Source organism: Homo sapiens, chromosome 16 (genome assembly GCF_000001405.40).
Source record: "Homo sapiens chromosome 16, GRCh38.p14 Primary Assembly".
NCBI lineage: Eukaryota > Metazoa > Chordata > Mammalia > Primates > Hominidae > Homo > Homo sapiens.
This window is the reverse complement of record NC_000016.10, coordinates 68899526-68924842: the sequence shown is the minus strand read 5'-3', so window position 1 is coordinate 68924842 and position 25317 is coordinate 68899526. Positions and strand designations below refer to the sequence as shown.

The 25317-nt window shown below is 43.0% G+C and overlaps 1 protein-coding gene across 5 annotated transcripts in view; it reads right to left on the bottom strand.

Annotated features, from left to right (window-relative positions):
* Window positions 1–25317, bottom strand: part of TANGO6 (transport and golgi organization 6 homolog) — a 241652-nt gene that overhangs the window by 160340 nt on the left and 55995 nt on the right. For all 5 annotated transcript variants that reach the window (NM_024562.2, XM_047434632.1, XM_011523327.4 and 2 more), the window contains 5 exons: window positions 24297–24409; window positions 22339–22515; window positions 17268–17400; window positions 15441–15632; window positions 5624–5758 (listed from right to left, as the gene is read on the bottom strand). In NM_024562.2, coding sequence (NP_078838.1) covers window positions 5624–5758; window positions 15441–15632; window positions 17268–17400; window positions 22339–22515; window positions 24297–24409 — 750 coding nt within the window. The remainder of the gene's footprint in view (window positions 1–5623; window positions 5759–15440; window positions 15633–17267; window positions 17401–22338; window positions 22516–24296; window positions 24410–25317) is intronic.

Genomic DNA, 25317 nt, shown 5'->3' with positions numbered 1-25317 from the left:
GCACTGGGTGGCAGCAGCTATGTGAGGAGTTTGTTTCTGTTTTCTTTTTTTTGAGACGGAATTTTGCTCTTGTCACCCAGGCTGGAGTGCAATGGCATGATCTCAGCTCACTGCATCCTCCGCCTCCCACGTTCAAGCGATCCTCCTGCCTCAGCCTTTCAAGTAGCTGGGATGACAGGTGCCCGCCACCATACCCGGCTAATTTTTTTATATTTTTAGTAGAGATGGGGTTTTGCCATTTTGGCCAGGCTGGTCTCGAACTCCTGACCTCAGGTGATCTTCCCACCTCAGCCTCCCAAAGTGCTGGGATTACAGGCATGAGCCACCGTGCCCAGCTGAGGAGCCTTTTTTTTTTGAGAGGGAGTTTCACTCTTGTTGCCCAGGCTGGAGTGCAATGGTGTGATCTCAGCTCACTGCAACTTCTGCCTCTTGGGTTCAAGCAATTCTCCTGCCTCAGCCTCCCGAGTAGCTGATCTGGTCTGGAACTCCTGACCTCAGGTGATCCTCCTGCCTCGGCCTCCCAAAGCACTGGGATTATAGGCGTGAGCCACTGGCACCTGGCCAAAGCTCTGAAAATCTTTAACGATGTGTATAAATGAGCACAATGAAGACAATTCCAGAAATAGATGGTTTAATCTCAAAAGCAAAAGAATTAGAGAGAACTAGTCAGCTTAGTTAACTGGAAAGTCATTTTCTTTTTAAGTTGTAAAATTGGAGGCACTGTGGTTTGCAAGTAAGGGCTTTTTTAGCCAGTTTGATCACCTGCATACAAGCAGTTGAAGGATGCCTCTCCACTCTAGGGAAATTCTGATAAAAGACTGGATTACCTAGAGGATAATCAAGTGAAAGCCTGTGAAAACAAGAAGCATGGCTCTCCTTTGCCCCTGATAACACATGACTAACATTCACAACACTCCCATGGGTGTGCCCAGATCTGGAGGTTGCTCACTATGGGTGAGGGCAGTGTTTTTCAACTTTTTGAGCTCATGCCCTTTTGAAAAAACAAAACAAAACAAAACAAAACAAAACAAAACAAAACAAATCATGCCTCCTTCATTAGACATCACCTTTCCTTTCTTCCTTTTATTCTTTCTTCCTTCCATTTATCCATCCATTCAAAAACTGTTAATTAAGTACCTACTGTGGCAGGTTTATTAAATATGGCAGAAAGTAAGACATCTCTAAATGAGGCTGCTTGAAAGCAACAGCAATTAAGAAGGATTGTCTGCTCTTTGGAGTTCTATATAACAGCTTGAAATAATGGGAATTTTCCCAAGCAGTTCTATAGAGCACCCAAATTGGGCTCGGTGAAGAAGAGAAAGGACAGCATTGTAGCACAGGAACTGACTCAACCAATTCGCCTCACCAGCATGCAACAGATTTCAGCGGCTCGTCCCTCTCTCCCCTTCCTCCATTCTGCAATAGACCTCTAGCTTGCTTACCACTACTTCTACCCCAGCCTCTAATCGTTTGCAATGATTCTAATATGTAAGTCAGCAGCACCTAAAACACAGTCCATGCTCCTGGTAACCTTTCTGCCAAAGAGTCTGAGCAATGGTCTTTGATCAAAAACATGACCTAAGCAGGCCAGGCGCGGTGGCTCATGCCTGTAATCCCGGCGCTTTGGGAGGCGGAAGCGGGCAGATCACCTGAGGTCAGGAGTTCGGGACTAGCCTGACCGACATGGAGAAACCCCATCTCTACTACAAAAAAAAAAAAAATACAAAATGAGCCGGGCGTGGTGGTGCATGACCGTAATCCCAGCTACTTGGGAGGCTGAGGCAGGAGAATCGCTTGAACCCAGCGGGCGGAGGTTGCGGTGAGCCGAGATCGTGCCATTGCACCCCAGCCTGGGCAACGAGCGAAACTCCATCTCAAAAAAAAAAAAAAAAAAAAAAAAAAACATGACCTAAGCAGTGTAGAGTAAGACCAAGCTAAAGCCCCCTTCCCCTTTAGAGAAGAGATGCACCTTTTCTCTCCCAATAATGGGCCCCCACCCCAGTAGAATCTAGATTTCAAGATTTGGAGCCCAGCTTTTAACCAGAAGCTCTGCTGCCTCCCTGGAACAACATGGTTTTGGTTTTTCCTAAAGAAGGTCTGGAATGGTCTGCTCAGCCTCGTGCTTTAGAGACCAATGGACAATACAACATCATGCAGAAACTGCTTCTTGAGGGGACAGGGAGGAGTAACCAATGTATAATACTTTTAGTGGTGACTAACTCTGAAATTTAGAAAATGAGCCTGGAACTACAGTTATCTTGTCAGCAGTCTTTTTTTTTTTAATTATAAATTTTTGTTTGTTTGTTTTGAGATGGAGTCTTGCTCTGTTGCCAGGCTGGAGTGCAGTGGCATGGTCTCCGCTCACCGCAACCTCCCCCTCCTGGGTTCAAGCGATTCTCCTGCCTCAGCCTCCCAAGTAGCTGGGATTATAGGCACGCGCCACCAAGCCCGGCTGATTTTTGTATTTTTAGTAGAGATGGGGTTTCACCATGTTTGCCAGGCTGGTCTTGAACTCCTGACCTCGTGATCCACCCGACTTGGCCTCCCGAAGTCCTAGGATTACAGGCATAAGCCACCGCGCCCGGCCTTTTTTTTTTTTTAATTTTGTTTTTGTTGTTGTTGTCAGCAGTCTTAAATACATGCTTTTTCCAAATTAACTCCTCTTCCCAGACACAATGTTCTAATAATCACTTTGATTACATAAATTAGAAACAAAAAAGGTTCAGATGATGTTAGATTCTTTTTTAATAAGCCAAAACAACGAATCCTAGTAAGAAATAGGAAAAAACAGTATATTGTTAGCCTGACAATGATTAACTGAAAACACAATTCAGAACCATGACATTTTTTTCTAATACAAAGAAAGAAAATCCAGCATTACTATAGAAGCCATTTACAAATCCATGATTCAAACAGAAAAAAAGTAGTAGATCTAGGGCAAAGGTATAGGGGGTGACGTGCTTATGTTCACTTAACTAACTGCAAAGTCAGAGGAATGCCGGATGTAATCAGTGAGTCAGGATGGCTCACAGAAAGGCAGGGGCCTGCAAGGTATAACCTTGATATCAGTCAGGTGAGTCTGTCTTAGAACACAACTAATGTGCACAGCCAGCCCTCCAACAATGGGCTTCTAGAAAGGGAAATGGAGATTTTTGTGATCTATCTTACATTGGGATGTGGTTTGAAATGATAAGTGTGAAGTAAAGAGAAGCCAAAAAAAAAAAAAAAAAAAAAAGCACACTCTCACCTTGTGGAAAAAGACTATTCAAATCAATATTCAACCAAAAAAAAACAAAACAAAACAAAACAAAAATCTATTTGGCCAACTAAATCCAATAAGAATACAACTTAAGAAAAATGATTCCGGCCGAGCGTGGTGGCTCATGCCTGTAACACTTTGGGAGGCCGAGGCGGGTGAATCACTTGAGGTCAGGGGTTCGAGACCAGCCTGGCCAACATGGCAAAACCCTGTCTCTACTATAAATACAAAAAATTAGCTGGGCGTGGTGGTGCATGCCTGTAATCCCAGCTACTTGGGAGGCTGAGGCAGGAGAATTGCTTGAACCCAGGAGGTGGAGGCTGCAGTGAGCTGAGATTGTGCCACTGCATTCCAGTCTGGGTGACAGAGTAAGACTCTGTCTGAAAAAAAAAAAGAAAAGAAAAAAGAAAAATGATTCCATCAGTGAAACTTTCCTTGATAGTTCTTTTTTTTTTTTTTTTTTTTGAGACAGAGTCTCGCTCTGTTGCCCAGGCTGGAGTGCAGTGGCGCGATCTCGGCTCACTGCAACCTCCGCCCACTGCAACCTCCGCCTCCCAGGTTCACGCCATTCTCCTGCCTCAGCCTCCCGAGTAGCTGGGACTACAGGCACCCGCCACCTTTTTTTTGTATTTTTAGTAGAGACGGAGTTTCACTGTGTTAGCCAGGATGGTCTCGATCTCCTGACCTCCTGATCCGCCCACCTCGGCCTCCCAAACCTTGACAGTTCTAACAGCAAGGGTATACTATGGCTCTAGAAACTGAACCAAAAGCTTTTTTTTTAAAACAATATGGAAAATATATAATTAGAAGTGCTAAGTAAATCTAAAGAAATGGGCTTCACACTAATAACAGGCCCAGATAAAATTCCCTTTCCTTTTAGACAGGCTAGTGAAAGGTATATTCTAATACATCGAGAATCAGAATCAGATTTGAATCCTCAAGCTCAAAAATCCATTCCCAGAGGGTATCCTACTCATTGCTAAGGGTTATGAGCAGGCTGGCTGCAGGGTAGATTTCATAAGACTCACACTAAGCCTATTCTGCTTTCCTGCAGACTCCTCACCTAACTCGGTATGTAATCAGCCAGTCACACACACATGCATGGTCTAGCCCTTGACTATCTTTTGTCCTTGCAGGCATGCTCTTCCCCTTGGTCTCTACAATTCACTAACACCAGCCTTCCATCAGTGTCTCAAGTATACCAAGCTCTTTGCTGCTTCTAAGCCTTTGTACGTGATGTTTTCCTTACTTGGAAGAGTTTCCTTCAAATCTTAGCTTACGCTTACACTTCCTCAGTGGAAATCTTCCCAGCCTAGGTTAGATGTTATGTGCTCTTGGTACCCGCCACTTCTCTTTTGAGACCCTTCATTCAATTCTAAGTACATTTCTGAACAGTCATTTAGTGTCTGACTTCCTTACTGGACTGCAAGTTTCATGACGGTCTGCCCTGTCCCCTGCTGTATTCCCAGCACCCTAGCTTAGTATGTGTGGCACACAAGTATGCAATATGTAGGTTTTGTTTGTTTAATTTTTTTTGAGATGGAGTTTAGCTCTTGTCACCCAGGCTGGAGTGCAATGGCACGATTTCGGCTCACTGCAACCTCCGGCTCCTGGGTTCAAGCAATTTTCCTGCCTCAGCCTCCCGAGTAGCTGGGATTACAGGCACCCGCCACCACGCCCAGCTAATTTTTTTTAAATATTTTTAGTAGAGACGGGGTTTCACCATGTTGACCAGGCTGGTCTCAAACTCCTCACCTCAGGTGATCCACCAAACTCAGCCTCCCAAAGTGCTGGGATTACAGGCTCAGTGAGCCACCGCACCCGGCCAATATGTAGTGTTTAAAAAAATAAATTTAAAAATTATAAATTAGGTATGTAAAAGACATACATACTTAAAAGTGGCTGGAAGCAAAGCTTTAACATGCTACCTGATAAGGGATGAAGAATGAATCCTGTGCTAAAATGGAGCATTCAAAATAGATGGATCCTATGCAACCAGTTGAGGACTTTCCCCAACAACAGTAGCAGAAACAAGGGCTGAGCTTTGGAGAGTGAGAGCCAGAAAATCTAGTATTCACCTCAGATGCAAAACACCAGGCTAGATGTTCCCAAATTAAGATTGTAACAGGTAGAAAGGACCCTGCCCTTCTGATAGTGAAGTCTATGCAGGTGACAGAGTAGAAATGGTGCAACTTTCTTGTTCTCTACTTTGGAGAGAATTCTCATTAACAAACTAACTTCTTTATCTAGGTTCTCCTATGTACAATATCCATTCTTATTTCTCACAAGGATATGGAAGGAAAACAACTGGTATTTCGCTTCTCCCTTCCCTCCATTCAAGCTTGCCTCATGTCTACAACTCACCTGAACAGCTCCTCCTAGCATGACAGCCACCAGCCCCATGGACATGCTCAGCGTCTGTGATTCCACGGTGCTCTCTGCCTGATGGGCCAGGCTTGCACAGGCTCTCTGCAATGTTGCTGCTACAAAGTCCACCACCTACCCAAAAAAGGGAATTGAGAATCAATGAGGAATGAAAAAAAAAAATCATAATTCTCCTTACATCTTATGTCTACATCCTCATCTTCTTCATCTACATCATGATAGCAAGAACCATCCAGAACAACTGCTACTTACCATGCAGATGTGATGTTCAGTGTTTTTTTTTTAAACATTTACCGGTTTATTATAAAGGTTATTACAAAGGACACAGATGAACAGACAGATGGATAGGACAAGCGGGTGGGGGTGTAGCTTCCATGCCCTCTCTGGGCTAGCCCCACTCCCAGCATCTCCACATGTTCAGCAAGCGGGAAGCTCCCAAGTGTTTCACATGTACAATCTCATTTAGTTCTCATATCAACTCTATGAGGTCAGTACTATTATCCTCATTGTGAAATGAAGAATCTGAGACTTTAAAAGGTTGTTTGTTTAAGGCCATACACTTAATAAATGAGAAAGCCTATTCATACTTTTCCAAATGTTTTAATATGCTACTCCAACTTCCTTAACTTTTCATGAATTTTGCCTGAAAATTAAAAAGCAAAATGACTTGTAAATTAACTTAAAATGGATCACGGACTGCAATGCAAAATACAAAATTATAAACTCCTCGAAGATAACATGAAAAATCTAGATGATCTTGGGTATGGTGATGACTTTTCAGATACAACACCAAAGGCACAATCCGTGAAAGAAAGTAATGATAAGCTGGACTTCACTGAAGTTAAAAATTCCTGCTCTGCGAAAGACACTGTCAAGAGAATACAAAGAGAAGCCACAGACTGGGAGAAAATATTCATCCACAACAGTCTGACAAGAGACTGTTTTCCAAAATTTACAGAGAACTCTTAAAGCTCAATAATAAGAAAACCTGGGTTGAGCACGGTGGCTCACGCCTGTAATCCCAGCACTTTGGGAGGCTGAGGTGGGTAGATCACTTGAGGTTAGGAGTCGAGACCAGCCTGGCCAACATGGTGAACCCTGTCTCTACCAAAAAATTATCTGGGCATGGTGGCACACCTGTGGTCTCAGCTACTCGGGAGGCTGAGGTGGAAGAATCGCTTGAACCAGGAAGTGGAGGTTGCAGTGAGCTGAGATAGCACCACTACACTCCAGCCTGGGCAACGGAGTGAGATCCTATCTCAAAAAAAAAAAAAAAAAATTAGCCAGGCATAGTGGCAAGTGCCTATAGTCCCAGCTACTCAGGAGACTGAGGTGGGAGGACTGCTTGAGCCCAGGAGGTCAAGGCTGCAGTAAGCCATGATGGTGTCACTGCACTCCAGCCTGTGTGACAGAGAGAGATCCTATCTTGAAAAGAAAAGAGCCCAATTAAAAATGAGCAAAAGTCCTGAACCGACATCTCACCAAAGAAAATATACAGACGGCAAAAAAGCATATGAAAAGATGCTCCACATCCTATGTCACTGGAGAACTGGAAATGAAAGCACTGGTGATATACTGTTACACACCTAATAGAATGGCCAAAATCCAGAGAACTGATTTCACCAGGAATGCTGGTGAGGATGGAGATCAACAGGAGCTCTCTCATTCATTCATTGCTGCTGGGAATGCAAAATGGTACAGCCACTTAGGCAGACAGTTTGGCAGTTTCTTACAAAACTAAACATACTTTCACCATACAGTCTAGCCATTGCTTGCCTTGATATTTATCCAAATGAGTTGAAAACTTATGTCCACACAAAAACCTGCACATGGTTGTTTATAGCAGCTCTAGTCATAATTGTTAAAACTTGGAAGTAACCAAGATGTCCTTCAGTAGGTGAATGCATCAATAAACTGTGATACATCCAAACAATGGAAAAACAGCACCAAAAAATGGGCAATCAAGCTATGAAAAGACATGGAGGAAACTCGAATGCATATTACTAAGGGAAAGAAGCCAAGCTGAAAAGGCCACATGCTGTATGATTTCACCCATATTACATTTTGGAAAAGGCAAAACTATGGAGACAGTAAAAAGATCAAGGGTTGCCGGGGTGAGGAGAGAGGGAGAACAGAACAGGTGGAGCATAGAGGATTTTTAGGGTGGTGAAACTATTCTGTATGATACCATCATGGTAGATACAGGGCATTGCAAATTTGTCCAAATCCATAGGCTGTACAACACCAAGAGTGAGCCCTAGTGTAAACTATGGACGTTGGGTGGTGATGTGTCAATGTAGACTGATCAGCTGCAAAAAATGCATCACTCTGGTGGGAGATGGTGACAATGGAGGAGGCTATGTTGTGTGAGTGCAGGGAGTGTAAGGGAAATCTCTGTCTCTTCTGTTCAATTTTGTTGTGAATCTAAAACTGCTCTAAAAAAAAACTCTTTATAAAAAATGACCTGTTACTTTCTGACTATGTCAGAGGGTCCTGGATCTGCTTCTCAAAAGGAGGTTTCCTCCTCAGGGATTCCTGCCCTGACTCACTCCCGACATTTTGACAGTCTAATTCTAGTAAGTAAAGAATGGAGGGGTAGTGTTCAGTTTCATCTAGAAGCCAGTGTCTTCGAGCCATCTGTGCAAATGATTGACAGTAGTGATCCCCAACCCTTTTGGCACCAGGGACCGGTTTCATGGAAGACAATTTTTCCACACACTGGGGTTGGCAGGGGCGGGAGGGGGAGAGGGGCGGGGAATGGTTTCAGGATGAAACTGTTCCACCTCAGATCATCAGGTGTTAGTTAGATTCTCATAAGGACTGCGCAACCTAGATCCCTCGCATGCACGGTTCACAACAGGGTTTGTGCTCCTATGAGAATCTAATGCTGCTGCTGATCTGACAGGAGGCGGCGCTCAGGTGGTAAAGCTCACTTGGGCGCTGCTCACCTCCAGTTATGCGGCCTGGTTCCTAACAGGCCACAGAACAGTACCAGTCCGTGGCCTGGGGGTTGGAGACCCCTGATCTAGAGTCTTTTTTTAAGTATTAAATATTTGAAAGGATTAAGACTGTTCCTAGACAAGATTTTATATAGCATTTGGCTAACAACTAAGCTTTAAATAGAATTAATTTGGTCAGCATCATTTTCAATGCATTTGGATTAATCAACTTAAGTAAAAACACCTTTGAATAAATGACAGCACACAAATACACATGCATGCACACACACATGCATACTTAGGATTAATGACTCAAAAGAGAGAAATCATTTTAGAAATGGAAAGGCTGAGAAGGTCATAATAAGCCTCCAAATAACATGCAAGCTTGCATGTTTAATTCTCTGGACAAATCACATGCTGTGCTAGAATCTTTATTGCAAGCTTAAAGTCAGGAGAATGGCTTGTTAACACTTGTCTTCTGAAGCAACGCAGGAAACTAGAAAGGTTATTAAAAGTTCCACTTACTGAAATGAACAATGCTGTTTAAGGCAGTTTTCACCACCTCCTCCATCCCTAAGATTTTATTCATACTAGAAGATAAGGACACTAGCGCTTTCTAGAGAAACTAGGTAGAAACTGTTTCTACTATCTTGGGCCAACTATGTTGCCTCCAGGGAGTCTTCTAAAGCACTCCTTAGCTGGGCACAGTGGCTAACGCCTGTAACCTAATACTTTGGGAGGCCAAGGCAGGAGATCACTTTAGGCCAGGAGTTCAAGACTAGCCTGGCAACAAAGTGAGACCCTGTCTCTAGAAAAAATTAAAAAATTAGCCAGGCACAGTGGCACACATCTGTAGTCCTGGCTACCCAGGAAGCTGAGGTGGGAGGATTGCATGAGCCAAGGAGTTCAAGTTTGCAGTGAGCTGTGATTTAGCCATTGCACTCCAGCCTGGGCAACAAAGAGTGAGACCCTGTCTCTAACAACAGTAACAAAAAATATATAAAGCATTCCTAAATTACTCAACTAGGACTATTTAGCCTTCCAACTTTTTCTAAATTCCTCTCCACTTTTTTTTTTTTTTTTTTTGAGACAGAGTTTAGCTCTGTCGCCCAGGCTGGAGTGCAGTGGTGTGATCTTGGCTCACTGTGACCTCCACCTCCCGGGTTCAAGCAATACTCCTGCCTCAGCCTCCCGAGTAGCCTCCCAAAGTGCTGGGATAACAAGCATAAGCCACTGCGCCCATCCTCCACTATCTATATGTGTGTGTGTGTGTGTGTGTGTGTGTGTGTGTGTGTGTGTGTAGATATCAAAACAAGTAGTATGATCCTATTACTAAAATAGACACTTTCTATGTTTGTATGTATGTTTAAAAAAAAAAAAACCCAGGGAACTGTTAACTGTAAAGAGATAGCCAACAATCATTGCCATCTATGAAGTAGCCTTTCTGCCAAACATTCTTTGTGTTAACCCCAAAACCCCCTACCCATTTGGACAGCAGCTCCTCCCCCTACTATACATTTCCTGTGATTTTGGTGGGGCTTCCAGCCACAAGAATAGGTGTGTGACTGAAGCCTGTTCTAAAATTTATATATGTTGTGGACAGTGGGGACAGACCTTTACTTTTTACTTAAAACTTCTTATAAATGTACATAATTTTAAAAGCCAAATATTCCTGAAAGCTTATAGTGAAAAATAGCAGTGCCCGACATCATTTCTTCCCATCTGATTCAGGCTCTACAGAAGCAACCACTTTTAGTTTGGTTTAATAATAAACTGTTTAGTTTGTTAATAACATTAAGTCCAGGCGCGGTGGGTCATGCCTGTAATCCCAGCACTTTGGGAGGCCAAGGCAGGCAGATCACCTGAGGTCGGGAGTTTGAGACCAGCCTGACCAGCATGGAGAAACACCATCTCTACTAAAAATACAAAAATTAGCCGGGCATGGTTGCAGGCACCTGTAATCCCAGCTACTCTGGAGGCTGAGGCAGGAAAATCGCTTGAACCAGGGAGGCAGAGGTTGCGGTAAGCCGAGATCACGCCATTGCACTGCAGCCTGGGCAACAAGAGCAAAACTCTGTCTCAAAAATAATAATAATATTAAACATTCACTATTTACCAAGCACAATTCTGAACATGTTACAGGTATTAACACATTTAATCCTCACAGTAGTCCTATGGGGGCGTCTAAACCTGCTGCCAAGACTCTGACACCTGAGTGGAAGGGGTGGAGGCCTCATTGTTGAGGATGCAGACTTCAATTTATACCTCCTATTTTTCAGTTCTCCTCTCCCACCCAGTTCAGAGTCCCTTGGGCTCAACATCTCTTAAGAGTAAACCTCCAGTCTTTCGCTGGGAAGTGGAGGTGGTTGTACAAAGGGAAGAAACGAATGAAGGGATTTACTGAATCCTATACAGCCTTTCAAACTGTTTTAAGCTCTAAATTCAACTCCATTTTTAGAGCTTATCTGGTGCTTCCTGTCCATCCAGGGTTCTGCAGTAAAAAGGAGCCTGCTCCTTTTTTTCTTATTTTTCTTTTCAAAAAAAAAATTTAGGCTGGGCACAGTGGCTTACGTCTCTAATCCCAGCACTTTGGGAGGCCAAGGTGGGTGGATCACCTGAGGTCAGGAGTTTGAGACCAGCCTGGCCAACATGGTGAAACCCCATCTCTACTAAAAATACAAAAATTAGCCAGGCATGGTGTCAGGTGCCTATAATCCTAGCTACTCGGGAGGCTGAGGCACAAGAATCGCTTCAACCCGGGAGGCAGAGGTTGCAGTAAGCCGAGATTGCGCTGCTGCACTCCAGCCTGGGCGACAGAGTGAGACTCTGTCTCAAAAAAAAAAAAAAAAAAAAAATTAATAATTTTATTGAGGTATAGTAGTGTGCTTCTTGGCTTCTCCACATGCAGACATCTAGATTTCCAGTTTCTCAAGTTGCTAGATCAGCTACTAGGGCCCAGACTGGCCTGGGCAATACAGTGAGACCCCATCTCTACAAAAAAAACAAAAACAAAAACAAAAAAAACAATTAGCTGGGCATGGTGGTGCATGCCTGTAGTCCCAGCTATTTGAGAGGCTAAGGTGGGAGGATTGCTTGAACCCATTGGGTGGAAGGCTGCAGTGAGCTATGATCTCGCCACTGAACTTTGCAACATTTGTTATTACCCTGTTTTTTTTTTTTTTTTTTGAGTCTCACTCTGTCACTCAGGCTGGAGTGCAGTGGCGCAATCTCGGCTCACTGCAACCTCCGCCTCCCGGGTTCAAGTGTTTTTCATGCCTCAGCCTTCCGAATAGCTGGGATTACAGGCGCTTGCCACCACACCCTGCTAATTTTTTTTTTTTTTTTTTTGAGAGATGGGGTCTTGCTATGTTGATCAGGCTGGTCTCGAACACCTGGGCTCAAATGCTCCGCTCACCTCGGCCTCCCAAAGTGCTGGGATTACAGGCGTGAGCCACCACACCTGGTCGGCTATTACCTTTTAGGTCTCTTCTCTCCTGCTCTGTTGGTCCCTGTGGCTTCCAGAGGGAGCAGATAAACGTGTTCAGTACACTGTCTTTCACCAGAAGTCCCTATTTTTTACATTATGAACTTCCCTGTTGTTTAAATGTTTTTTGTTTTTTGAGACGGAGTTTTGCTCTTGTTACCCAGCCTGAAGCGCAGTGCAGTGGTGCGATCTCGGCTCACTGCAACCTCCACCTCCCAAGTTCACGCAATTCTCCTGCTTCAGCCTCCCAGTAGTTGGGATTATAGGCACGTGCCACAATGCCTGGCTAATTTTTTGTATTTTTAGTAGAGATGGGATTTCACCATGTTGGCCAGGCTGGTCTCAAACTCCTGGCCTCAAGTGATCTGCCCACCTCAGCCTCCCAAAGTGCTGGGATTCCAGGCGTGAGCCACTGCACCCGGTCTAGTTTTTGTATTTTCAGTAGAGGTGAGGTTTTGCCATGTTGCCCAGGCTGGTCTCGAACTCGTGGGCTCAGGCAATCCTCCTGCTTCAGACTCCCAAAGTGCTAAGATTACAGGCGTGAGCCATAGCACCCTGCCAAGACGTAATTTTCTAGTTTTCTTTTTGAATTTTTAGCTATGATTCTCCTATAAAGAAAGATTTTCCTTCGTATACCATTTGGTTACCCTGACATACAATTCTTACAGGAAACACAAGACAAATGCTTTATTCTTTCCCTTTACTTAACAAGGTACCAAATAATGAGTTGATGCCCTGGCAATCCCAAAGATGTCCTATGAGGGTTTTTTTCTTTGACTCAGATTTTTATATCTTTGATGTACTTCAACCATTGCAGGCATTATTCCTTTTAATGATCTAATTGTCCTATCTATGGCAATGGGAGTCCCTTCAAGTTGGCTCCAGTGTGCTACAGATATGATCCCATTCATCTCAGGTCGCTTCCTTGTATTTAAGCACAACAAGATGCCTTGAGGCTTATAAATGTATGATTCCTGCCTGCCTCAGACTTCGAATCAACCTTATTCCATATAAAGCTTAGAATTCTTTTAGTAGAAAATGGTATTTAGAAACTATAAATTGGGCTGGGCACAGTGGCTCATGCCTGTAATCCCAGCACTTTGGGCCGAGACAGGTGGATTGCTTGAGGTCAGGAGTTCAAGACCAACCTGGCCAACATGGCGAAACCCCGTCTCTACTAAAAATAGAAAAATTAGCCAGGCGTGGTGGCATGTGCCTGTAATCCCAGCTACTTGGGAGGCTGAGGCAGGAGAATCACTTGAACCCGGGAGGTGGAGGTTGCAGTGAGCCGAGATCGCACCACTGCACTCCAGCCTGGGCCGACAGAGTCACATTCAGTCTCAAAAAAAAAAAAAAAAAAGAAACTATAAATTGTCACTAAGAATGCTTATTGCTACTGGGTTGTCATTGCTTCTTGGGATTGACAATGGACTGAGCTGGAAATATCTATTTTTTAAAAAGAGAAAAATAAATTGTGAGTTCATACTAATATTTCCAACTGAAATTCAATATTACAGGGTTTTAAGCTGGGCACGGTGGTGTGCACCTGTTGTCTCAGCTACTTGGGAGGCTGAGGTGGGAGAATCACTTGAGCCCAGGAATTCAAGTCCAGCCTGGGCTGATAGTGAGACTCTGTCTCTTAAAATAAAATAAAATAAATTATAGGGTCTTTACTCTGGTTCTTTACTTTATACCTCTTTTTTATGCTAAAAATCTTGATCCCTAATAATATTCACAAAATTACATTAACTTATTTTCTTTATCTATATGTGTGTGTTTCAAAACAATATACCAATAATGGCTGGGCACGGTAGCTCACGCCTGTAATCCCAGCACTATGGGAGGCCAAGGTGGGTGGATCACCTGAGGTCAGGAGTTCAAGATCAGCCTGGCCAACATGGTGAAACCCCATCTCTACTAAAAATACAAAAACTAGCTGGGCACAATGGTGCACACCTGTAATCCCAGCTCCTTGGGAGGCCGAGGCAGGAGAATTGCTTGAACCCAGGAGGTGGAGGTTGCAGTGAGCCGAGACTGCGCCACTGCACTCCAGCCTGGGCGACAGAGACAGACTCCATCTCAAAAAATAATAATAAAACAAAACAATATACCAATATTATCACGAGCAGTGACATTACCAAATGCAATTTAATATTTCCTTGTGGTTCTTTTTGCCCTGATACATTTTAACCTTAGCTGAAGGATAATTTAATGGGACAAATCATTTTTCTACCAGCCTGACACCATTGTTCCTTAATTAGGAGTAAAGGGAGCTAAGTGCAAAAGCTCAAGTCATATCAATTTTTAGACCATTTCCCCTTCCAACTAGCATCCTGAGACAAAAACATAAGGTCTGGATGAAGAAGTGTCCAGAGAATGGATATAAACACAGGAGAAACAAATCACCCTACTGAGTAACACGGGGTCAGTGAACTGAAAGAATAAGAGGCCAGGAAAGAAATCATGAGCATAATTCTCATTAAACAGGCACGGTAAGTCAGAGCTGACAGGCAGCTGCAAATTTTCTCAGCAGGAGCTATAGTGAAATGCTGCTTAGCAACACCCGAAGGCAGATGACAATGACGACCATACAAAGAGCTGGAGAATCAGATTTAAGCGTGACAATCATGCCATCTTACAACTGCCTATTGACCAACCAAGCTACAACTAATTCTGGTTAAGTGGTAAAATCTGGCAACTGTACTGCCTTTGCTTTATTACTTTTATTTCCTATCTTTTTTAAAGGTGGGAAAAATAATGTCTGAGCCAATACAATTCAGACACTGACTCGCATAGTGATACTCCTCTAAAAGCATTTTTTAAAACATCTTAAAACTTAAGAGAATGTTGTGGAGATAAGCTGTGAGTTACAGGACCCATAATGAAATTCAAGGTGATCTCATTATTATTAGTGATTTCTTCAAGTTGAGTGTATAATCATTTTCAAGTTTTGATACACCTTAGATCATCCATGGAGCTTGAGTAGGACGAAGATGCCCGGGCTCTAATGCAGACATGCTGAATCAGAATCTCTAAACGTGGGCTGGCTATCAATATATTGAAAAAGATCCCAGATAACTTGTTTTGCACCCAAAGTTGAAAACTACTATAACATAATATATAAACATTTAAGACAAAATTTTACTTGCATGAGAATCACCTCGGGAGCTTGTTAAACGTGTGGAGTCTCAGGACACTGGAACGTTTTGGATTCAGTGGCCTGGTGTGGGCTGTGTAGTTTCCATATTTAACCAGCATTCCAGGAAACACCTCATGATCCAGGTGTCATCAAATCACACTCTCAGCAACATTTTTAAACTTTATTTTTTGGAAAGAAAAAAAGGCTGCGGTCCAGAATGTGGCAACTACTGACCTGAGTGACGTTTGTGAATATCTGCTCAGACATTCTCTCGCACAGAACAGCCATCAGCTGCAGGACAAGCAGCTTCCGCTCTTGGCCTTCCACAAGAAGAGTCTGATGTTGCTCTAATTCCAAGAGGCTCTTGCTGGAGAAGGGCTCAGTTTTTAACTCTGTTTCATTTTCCGAGGCCACATGAGTCAACTCCTACAAGCATGGCAGGAAAGAAAAAGTGAAGATAAAGCCAGTACAACTAAGGCCTTCTCAAACATAAGCAGAAAACTCTGTTTGAACTGCATGTTTAAATAAATAGTCTGTGTTTGTTGCAACATTATTTATAATAGCCAAAACTTGGAGACAAGCTAAATGTCCAGCAATAAGAAAAAATTATGATGTATTTATTGTATCACAGCAGTTAAAATAAATGAATTAGATTTATATGGGTATCAATATAGATAGATCTCAAAAACACTACTGAGTGAAAAATCTAAGTTGCAGAATAATATGTACAGTATGATACCATGTATATAAAAATCTAAAATCTCATAATAAAACACACACACACAAAGAAATGGTTTGACAAGCTTTCTGCTTTGTGGGTATTTTTATGATTTCTACTAGTAGCCTTCCTTGAACTGAGACCTCAGATCACCTCACATTCTCAAACCCCTTTTGGAGACCATGAGATGCCTCCAGCACTACAGCTCTTTTCCTCTAAGATACTTAGAACTAACTTCTAAGAAATCATGTATTACTGTGGGTTTTGTAGGCTATTCACCTACCCTTTTTGGCTCACTGAAACCTCTGCCTCCTGGGCTCAAGTGATCCTCTCACCTTAGCCTCCCAAGTAGCTGGGACTACAGGCACAAGCCACCATGCCAGGCTGATTTTTTTTTTGTATTTTTGGTAGAGATGGGGTTTCGCCATGTTGCCCAGGCTGGTCTCAAATGCCTGAGCTCAGGTGATCCACCTGGCTCGGCCTCCCAAAGTGCTGGGATTACAGGCGTGAGCCACCTTTTTTTAAGTATACAATTAAGAGCACATCCCCTTGGAACGTGATTTAGAAAGAGTATTGCTGGGCACGGGGACGGGTGTGAACATGGGAGGTAAGAAAGCATCAAAAAGTGGTGTCCCCTATTTCAAGTTCTCGAAATGTTAGCCCTGATTCCCTCCTTGAATTCTCCCATACCCACAGAAACCTTAAACTCTCTTAGAGTTCTTTTAGAGTAGACACTTTACTTAGGGGAAGAAGTTGAGAAAGCAGAGCTGGAGGTCACTGGCTTATGATGTCATACAGTGCAACAAGGAGTAACATTATGGGGTACAAGTTACTCTCAGAGAACAGAAGAAAAGCAAGCAAAGCACAACCACTGGCACTAAGAAACAAACCCGGAAAAGGCTTCAAGTGCCTGCAAAATGAAATGAAGGAGGCAGAATTGCTAAATCTCCTTTGCAAATACCTGACAAAACAACAGTCAGAAAGGATAAGGGATTACTCTATAGCTGTAAAACCTGCTATTAACTTCAAAAGAGTTCTTACTGTCAACACAGAGCAAAGATTAACCCTTTCATGGATCGAGGGTTTTGCTTTGTTCATCTCTAAACTGTCAGTGCCGATTACTTGGAGAAGTAGTAGATAACATGAGTACTAGTGAAGAGAAGTTTCTTCCTTTTACCAATCCAAAGGCTACTAAAAAATAAATTCCTTTATGTCCTCTGACCATTTTCCTTAAATTAGGGCCTACATTTTAGGACCTAAAATTATAAATGCTTTGAAAATTCTAAGGGTTTCCTGGAACTCCCCTGGAACAACACTGACCAGGAACTACAGGTAGTTCTTACTTTCAAACAGAAGATGAAGAAGTCTCCTGCCAAACCGCATTCCTGGCAGTGGGACAGCAAGTCCCCGAGATGCTCCACCCGGCCCTGCTCAGAGGATACCTTCTGGTACAGGGCTTCATCTTCATCTTCATCACTGCAATGCAGGGTAAAATTTATCTTGGTAGTGTCACCAGAGATACACATAATTTTAAACCCCATAACAATCTTCTAAAGTAACATGTTATGTCCAAACAGTTAACCATTAAAAAGATCCCCCAAATTTATTTAACTTATTTTATTGTTTCTCCATTCTGAAAAAAGTATTGATTATCAGAAACTAGGCTGTTATGGGCCAGGCGCGGTGGCTCACGCCTGTAATCGCAGCACTTCGGGAGGCCAAGGCGGGAGGATAATGAGGTCAGGAGACAAAAACCATCCTGGCTAACACAATGAAGCCCTATCTCTACTAAAAATACAAAAAAAAAAAAAAAAAAAAATCAAGGTCTGGGTGAGGTGGCTCACACCTGTAATCCCAGCACTTTGGGAAGCCGAGGCGGGTGGATCACCTGAGGTCAGGAGTTTGAGACTAGCCTGGCCAACATGGTGAAACCCCGTCTCTACTAAAAAATACAAAAATTAGCTGGGCGTAGTGGCTCATGCCTATAATCCCAGCTACTTGGGAGGCTAAGGCAGGAGAATCGCTTGAACCCAGGAGGCGGAGGGTGCAGTGAGCCGAGATTGTGCCATTGCACTCCAGCCTGGGTAACAAGAGTGAAATTCTGTCTCAAAAAAAAAAAAAAAAAAGAAGAAGAAACTAGGCGGTTATGTCCTGCATGGTCATGAAGATGGATATTAGCTGGGCACAGTGGTGCACACCTGTAGTGCACTAGGAGGCTGAGGCAGGGAGACTGCTTGAGCCCAGGAGTTTGAGGTTGTAGTACATTATGGTCACAACTATGAATAGCCACTGAACTCAAGTAACATAGACAACATGGCAAGATCTCATTTCTACAAAAAAAAAAAAGATGGATGTTGGAGAATTACTATTACTTCTGCAAAAGCAAGGAGGAATTAAAGTATAAGTCATATGCAGATATTCTGGGTCCTGAGGAAAAACAAAGAAAGAGAAGGCTGCAAAGTAAGGCTAGATCACAGAAGGCCTTGGATGTCATTCAAAGGAACTTTGACTTTTTTCTGATGAGCCACTGAAGGGTTATGGGCAGCAGAAAAAGATGTGATCATCATGGGAGGACATGCAGTCTCAACTGAAAGGAACCAATTAGCCGAGATAAGAAAATGCATAAAGGTTCAGAAAAATGAGTAGGTTGAACATGATTACCAAGTTATAAAATCTGGCTAAATCAGTGCTATGGTTACTGCGAAAATTTCTATAATTATTTATTTATTTATTTATTTGAGATAGAATCTCGCTCCTGTTGCCCAGGCTGGAATGCAATGGCGCGATCTTGGCTCACTGCAACCTCCGCCTCCTGGGTTCAAGCGATTCTCCTGCCTCAGCCTCCTGAGTAGCTGGGATTACAGGCGCCCACCACCATGCCCAGCTAATTTTTTGTATTTTTAGTAGAGACAGGGTTTCACTATGTTGGCCAGGCTGGTCTCGAACTTCTGACCTCGTGATCTGCCCACCTCGGCCTCCCAAAGTGCTGGCATTACAGGTGAGCCACTGTGCTCGGCCATTTTTTGTTTTGTTCTTTTTTAATTTTTGAGACAGGGTCTCACTCATTGCCTAGGCTGGAGTGCAGTGGTGCGATCGTGGCTCACTGCAGCCTCAACCTCCCAGTCTGAGGCAATCCTCCCACTTCAGCCTCCTAAGTAGCTGGGACTACAGAGGGGCACCATCACAACCAACTAATTTTTGTATTTTTTTGTAGAAACCGGGTTTTGCCACATTGCCCAGGCTGGGCAAGAAATTTTTGTACTTTCCCATGAGGTACTATGGCTTTTAGTTTTTAATTATTCTGACAAGAGACAAAGATACTATGTATACATATATATACACCTGTGTGTGTACTTACTATTTTTTTAACTTTTTTTTTTTTTTGAGACAGAGTTTCGCTCGTCACCTAGGCTGGAGTGCAATGGCGCAATCTCGGCTCACTGCAACCTCCACCTCCTGGGTTCAAGTGATTCTCCTGCCTCAGCCTCCTGAGTAGCTGGGATTACAGGTGCCCGCCACCACGCCTGGCTAATTTTTGTATTTTTAGTAGAGACAGGGTTTCACCATGTTGGCCAGGCTGGTCTCAAACTCCTGACCTCGTGATCCACCCACCTCAGCCTCTTCCAAAGTGCTGTGATTACAGGCGTGAGCCACTGCGCCCAGCCCCAATTTTATTTTATTTTTTTTTGAGACACAGTTCCACTCTTGTTGCCCAGACTGGAGTGCAATGGCACAATCTCGGCCCACCGCAACCTCTGCCTCCCAGGTTCAAGCAATTCTCCTGCCTCAGCCTCCCAAGTAGCTGGGAATACAGGCATGCGCCACCATGCCACCACGCCCGGCTAATTTTGTATTTTTAGTAGAGACGGGGTTTCTCCATGTTGGTCAGGCTGGTCTCAAACTCTTGACCTCAGGTGATCCGCCCGTCTCGGCCTCCCAAAATGCTGGGATTACAGGCATGAGCCACTGCGCCTGGCCTTTTTTAAGAAATGGAGTCTCGCTATGTTGCCCAGGCTGGTCTTGAACTCCTGGCCTCAAGCAATCCTCACACCTTGGCCTTCCAAAGTGCTGGGATTACCAGTATGAACCACCATACCCAGCTCAAGATACTATATTATTATACCATATTATCATATAAACAAATACAAAGGCATTGAAGATGCACTAAAAAGCAAAACACTAAAATAATGTGAACAGAAAATAAGATACTAGTTGACTTTTGTTTTCCTCTTTATGTGTTTTTTGTATTGTACAAAGAATATGTGTTATTTCAGTGACCAATGACATAAAATTTTTTCAGACTAAGTTGAGAAAAAAAAGATAGATGTTTCTTCATCTCATTGAAAAGTACAATTACTAATTTGGCAGCCCATCTCATCAGGCAGTATGTCTCAATGTGCCAGTTCACTAAGAACATGGACTTCATATTCCTCTAATAGAATGAATAACCTACATATTTAGCTTAGGATATTTCCTGTATTATCCCAGAATCTTCCAGAGTCCTTCAGATCAGTCATGTTTTCTCCACAACATTCTATGTTAAAGGAAAAGCCAAAATGGATAAACGTCCCTTCTAAGCTTCTGTGAGCCATTTTAATTGTGAAAATGAAGTACTGTATTCAAATACTCCTAAAACAACACGACGTTAGCCTGGCATGGTGGCGCGCACCTGTAGTCCCAGCTACTTGGCAGGCTGAGACAAGAGAATTGCTTGAACCCAGGAGGCAGAGGTTGCAGTGAGCCAAGATCATGCCATTGCACTCCAGTCTGAGCGACAGAGCAACACTCAGCACCAAAAAACAAAACAAAACAAAACAAAAACACATGACAATTATCTTAAGAAGCACTACTTTAGTCACGCTTTAAAATTCAACAATAAAGAGTAAATTCCAAACAATTATATTTAATTCCAGAAAAGTAAAAACTCTGGATCTAAAGATATAAAATCCAAGCTGCTCTTATAGAGTTTCTTTAAATAAACTTCTTTTTTTTTTTTTGAGACAGAGTCTCACTCTGTCACCTAGGCTGAAGTGCAGTGGCGCAATCTTGGCTTACTGCAACCTTCATCTCCTGGGTTCGAGTGACAGTCCTGCCTCAGCCTCCTGAGTAGCTGTGACTACAGGCGCCAGCCACCACAACCGGCTAATTTTTATATTTTTAGTAGAGATGGGGTTTCACCATGTTGGCCAGGCTGGTCTTGAACTCCTGACCTCAAGTGATCTACCCACCTCGGCCTCCCAAAGTGCTGGGATTACAGGTGTGAGCCACCACGCCTGGTCCTTCTTTTTTTTTTTTTTTTTTTTGAGATGGTCTCGCCCTGTTGCCCAGGCTGGAGTGCAGTGGTACGATCCCAGCTCACTGTAACTTCCACCTCCTGATTCAAGCAATTCTTTTGCCTCAGCCTCACAAGTAGCTAGGCCTACAGGCATGCACTACCATGCCTGGCTAATTTTTGTATTTTTAATAGAGATGGGGTTTCACCATGTTGGCCAGGCTGGTCTCAAACTCCTAACCTCAGGTGATCCACCCGCCTCAGCCTCCTAAAGTGCTGGGATTACAGGTGTGAGCCACCGTGCCTGGCCAAAAACATCTTCTTGATAACTGTTGCTGGGCAGAATAGCAGCTTGCGTTTGTACTGATAATTCTGTTTGCAATCTATGTGTTTTTCTATTTTCCTCAAGTCCATCAAACTGAAGGGGTGTTTTACAACTTTACCAAGTTAACCATGAATATATAATTATATTTCAACACTTCAACAAACAGCAGCACTTTGAATGTGATGTGAAATCCAAACAGGATAGCAGTCACCCATGAATGTTACATGGACTATGACCAACAGGAATTTACGTTCTGAGGTAATAACATTAGATCATCCAGAAAGTGGAAATAATTTAAAATATGCAATTGTGAGATGCTGGAGAAATAAATGATCCATTCCACTAATATTTATTAAGCACTTTCTAATCAATCCCTATGAGAAACAAATTTCCATCATAAAATTACCATAAAAGATAGCTATTAGACAATTTCCCTCAGGAATAAGTCTGACTATAAACACACACATATACCATTTTGAGAGTCAGAAAGATAATTGGATTATTATGGTGTTAAGGGTGAACATGTGTCTGCCCTTTACTCTGATTAACTGGCAAAGATGGTGGAGTAAGTGGGCTTGTTGTGATGCAGAGCTGTGAGGCTCCAGTAAATTGCACCAACTATTAGCAGGCATCTTAGGAAAAAACCTGGAGGATTATTTAAGGCTCACGTTTCATTTAGAGAATATAAATAGCAGGCACCTGAGCCACTTGAGTTTCTGGTTTCTTTTCTATCAGCGCCCCTTAGTGGTTGAATCACTGAATGGCCTTTTGGGCGGAACTAAATCTGAAGAGAACAGTAACGGATGGGTGGACTCACCTAATGGCCTCTTTGATGGTAATCATAATGCCACCTTGAGTGGCAACTCTAAACTGACACAGAGAATGGAGAGAGGGCACAGCTTTGTCCAACCCTGCAAATCCTTTCAGGCTGGCAATTGCCTTCTTCCTTTCCAGCTTCCCCAGAATCCATAATAAGATTTCTTGGCAAAGTGACCTGGCAGAAAAAGCAGTTATGAATGAGCTTGTCATCTTACTCCATGCATCTAACAAGCTAACATAAAAAAAGAAAGAAAGGCTGTCAGGTTCCACTGCATTTTAAATGCTGGCACAATCTCCTAGTACTACTGAAATGCAGGAATGGAAAGTATGCTTCTTGTGAATTTCAGAATGCAAATATCCTGAAATTCAATGAGTGACTGACTAATCCTTGGCTCTGGCAGCAACCCTGATTTGCCACATGAGCCCCACGTGATTTTTTTTTTTTTTTTTTTTGGTAATTCCAAGTGTACTACTGCCTTTGCATCAGGCACTGTCAAAGAAAGTATACACGGATAAAAATCATCTACTCTCAGCAAGACCAACAGCTGGAGACCAAGAAACAGCATACCAACAAAATATTGCTGATTCCTCAACCCCTTTCATCTGTGCCAATCAACTAGAAGAGGAACTAAATCATCGTTCACATGTTCCTTGTCAGTCTCTGATGAGAACATGACAGTGCTGTGAGGACTTGAGTTTTAAAACAAAAACAAGAGGCCAGGTGCGGTGGCTCACGCCTGTAATCCCAGCATTTTGTGAGGCTGAGGTGGGTGGATCACCTGAGGTCAGGAGTTCGAGACCAGGCTGGCCACATGGTGAAACACTGTCTCTACTAAAACTACAAAAATTAGCCGGGCATGGTGGAAGGTGCCTATAAGCCCAGCTACCCAGGAGGCTGAGGCAGGAGAATCGCCTGAACTCAGGAGGCAGAGGTTGCAGTGAGCCGAGATCGCACCACTGCACCCCAGTCTGGGCAACAGAGCGAGACTCCGTCTCAAAAAAAACAAAAACAAGAGTTATTTTGTGGACTGTCCCTTGAAACCAAGTTCACAGATGTACAGCCTCCCTCTTCCAATGCATTCTCTCTTGTCGTTGCCATTGCAGCTGTGGGATACAAGGATGTGCTGACTCAAGCTGAAGAGCCAGGGGAACTATGTAAGCTTTGAATAGTACAAAAGATGGTGTTTTCCTTCACCACTTAGCAATGGTGATAATGATAGCTACCATTTATTGAGCTTACTATTTGCCGGGGACTGTACTAAACACATTAATGCATATTTAGTCTTCACAATAACTCTGTGAAGAAGGTACTATTATTGCATATTGGATTACATGTGAGGATCTCCAAACACCAAAAATCGTAATTCTATAGGACTTGAGATAAGATAACTCTTACCTGGAGGAAGAAACAACATAAATTACTGTGAAAATAGAGCTGATACAAAATGAATCCTACTTAAATTCTACGACAAAGGAGTATTTTCTGGATGACTAAGAAATCCCTTCTATCTAAACAACACACTGCATCACCAACACCAAATCCTAGGCTAAATTACAAAGTGCCACATTCAGATCTAGATTTCCCAAATGTGTTTTCTAACTCCCCACAAGGTCATTATGATCCATCCCCTATTTCCTTCTTCCTAGACATGTAATTGCAGTATTTCTCACTGATCGAAAAGTGGCATGTTTACACATGTAAACAGAGATTTTGTCTTTGAGATTTAGGACAGAGGCTGAGGAAAGTCATTCTAAAAACTGTATCCAATGCCCTGTGATCTGCAAAATTCTTGTTCTCTTCTAGATGAGCAAAATAGGAAGATCCCAGTGTTTTCCTGACTTTGAAAGGAAATGATAATTTCAAAGTGGCAAATATAAATTCAAAATAAGAACAAAAACAACATGCAAAAAAGACGTCACAATTTATAAACAAATAAGGGTCCCTTGATTGTTTACCTTATGTGAGACACACTCTGCTTAGTAAAACAGTAGAGAAGAAAAAGCACTCCCAGGACTGGAAGCAGGGAATCCATCAAAACTGTTAAAGGTTCATTCCCAACCACGTACACCTAGAAAAAAGGAAATGGTGAAGAATAATCCCATGACTGCCTGGCCAGAGCAACGGGAATCACACACCAAACACCTAGCAGGGCTCAGCGTCTTAAGCAATATCTCATCCGAATCACACCATTTTAGCTCCAAAGATGTGCTCAGATATGGCAATGAAACAATTTGAGTTTGGCAGACAGGCTGAAACAAGACAGTGAACTGGAGCAGCACCATTTCATGTGTGCAGTCCCTAGAACTGCCCAGAATAGGTCAACTACCCCGCTTTCTGACCTCTTCCTTTCCTACTTTTGGCTATGTCTGAGTTTCCTAATTTACCTATTGTGTAACCATATGATAACTGTCCTACTGCTGAAGGCCCTGCTATTAGGAACAAGTAATTACTACCAAAGGGAAAAACTTAAAACTGGATTTGGAAAATCAAACCAAACCCAAAACACTGCTTACTCCAGTTTCATCACTCTTAAGATGTGACCACCACATGGACATGTCCTATTCTCCCTAATTCTATAAATGTTCAAAGAAATTATACTGTAGGGCTGGGCACAGTGGCTCATGTCTGTAATCCCAGAATTTTTGGAGGTCATGGAGGGAGGATTGTTTAAGGCCAGGATTCAAGCCTAGCTGGGCAACATAGTAAGACCCCATCTCTACAAAAAAATTTAAAAATTAGCCAGGCTTGGTAGTGCACACCTACAGTCCTAACTACGTGGTAGGCTGAGGCAGGAGGATCGCTTGAGCCCAGGAATTCAAAGCTGCAATAAGCTATGATCATGCTACTGCCCTCCAGCCTGGGTGACAGAGTAAGACCCTGTCTCAAAAAAAAAGAAAAGTAATTGCACTGTTCACCTAGATCTGTACTGGCTCTACATGGTTAAGTGTGTGAGGATGTTGACTACTGCCTATGAAA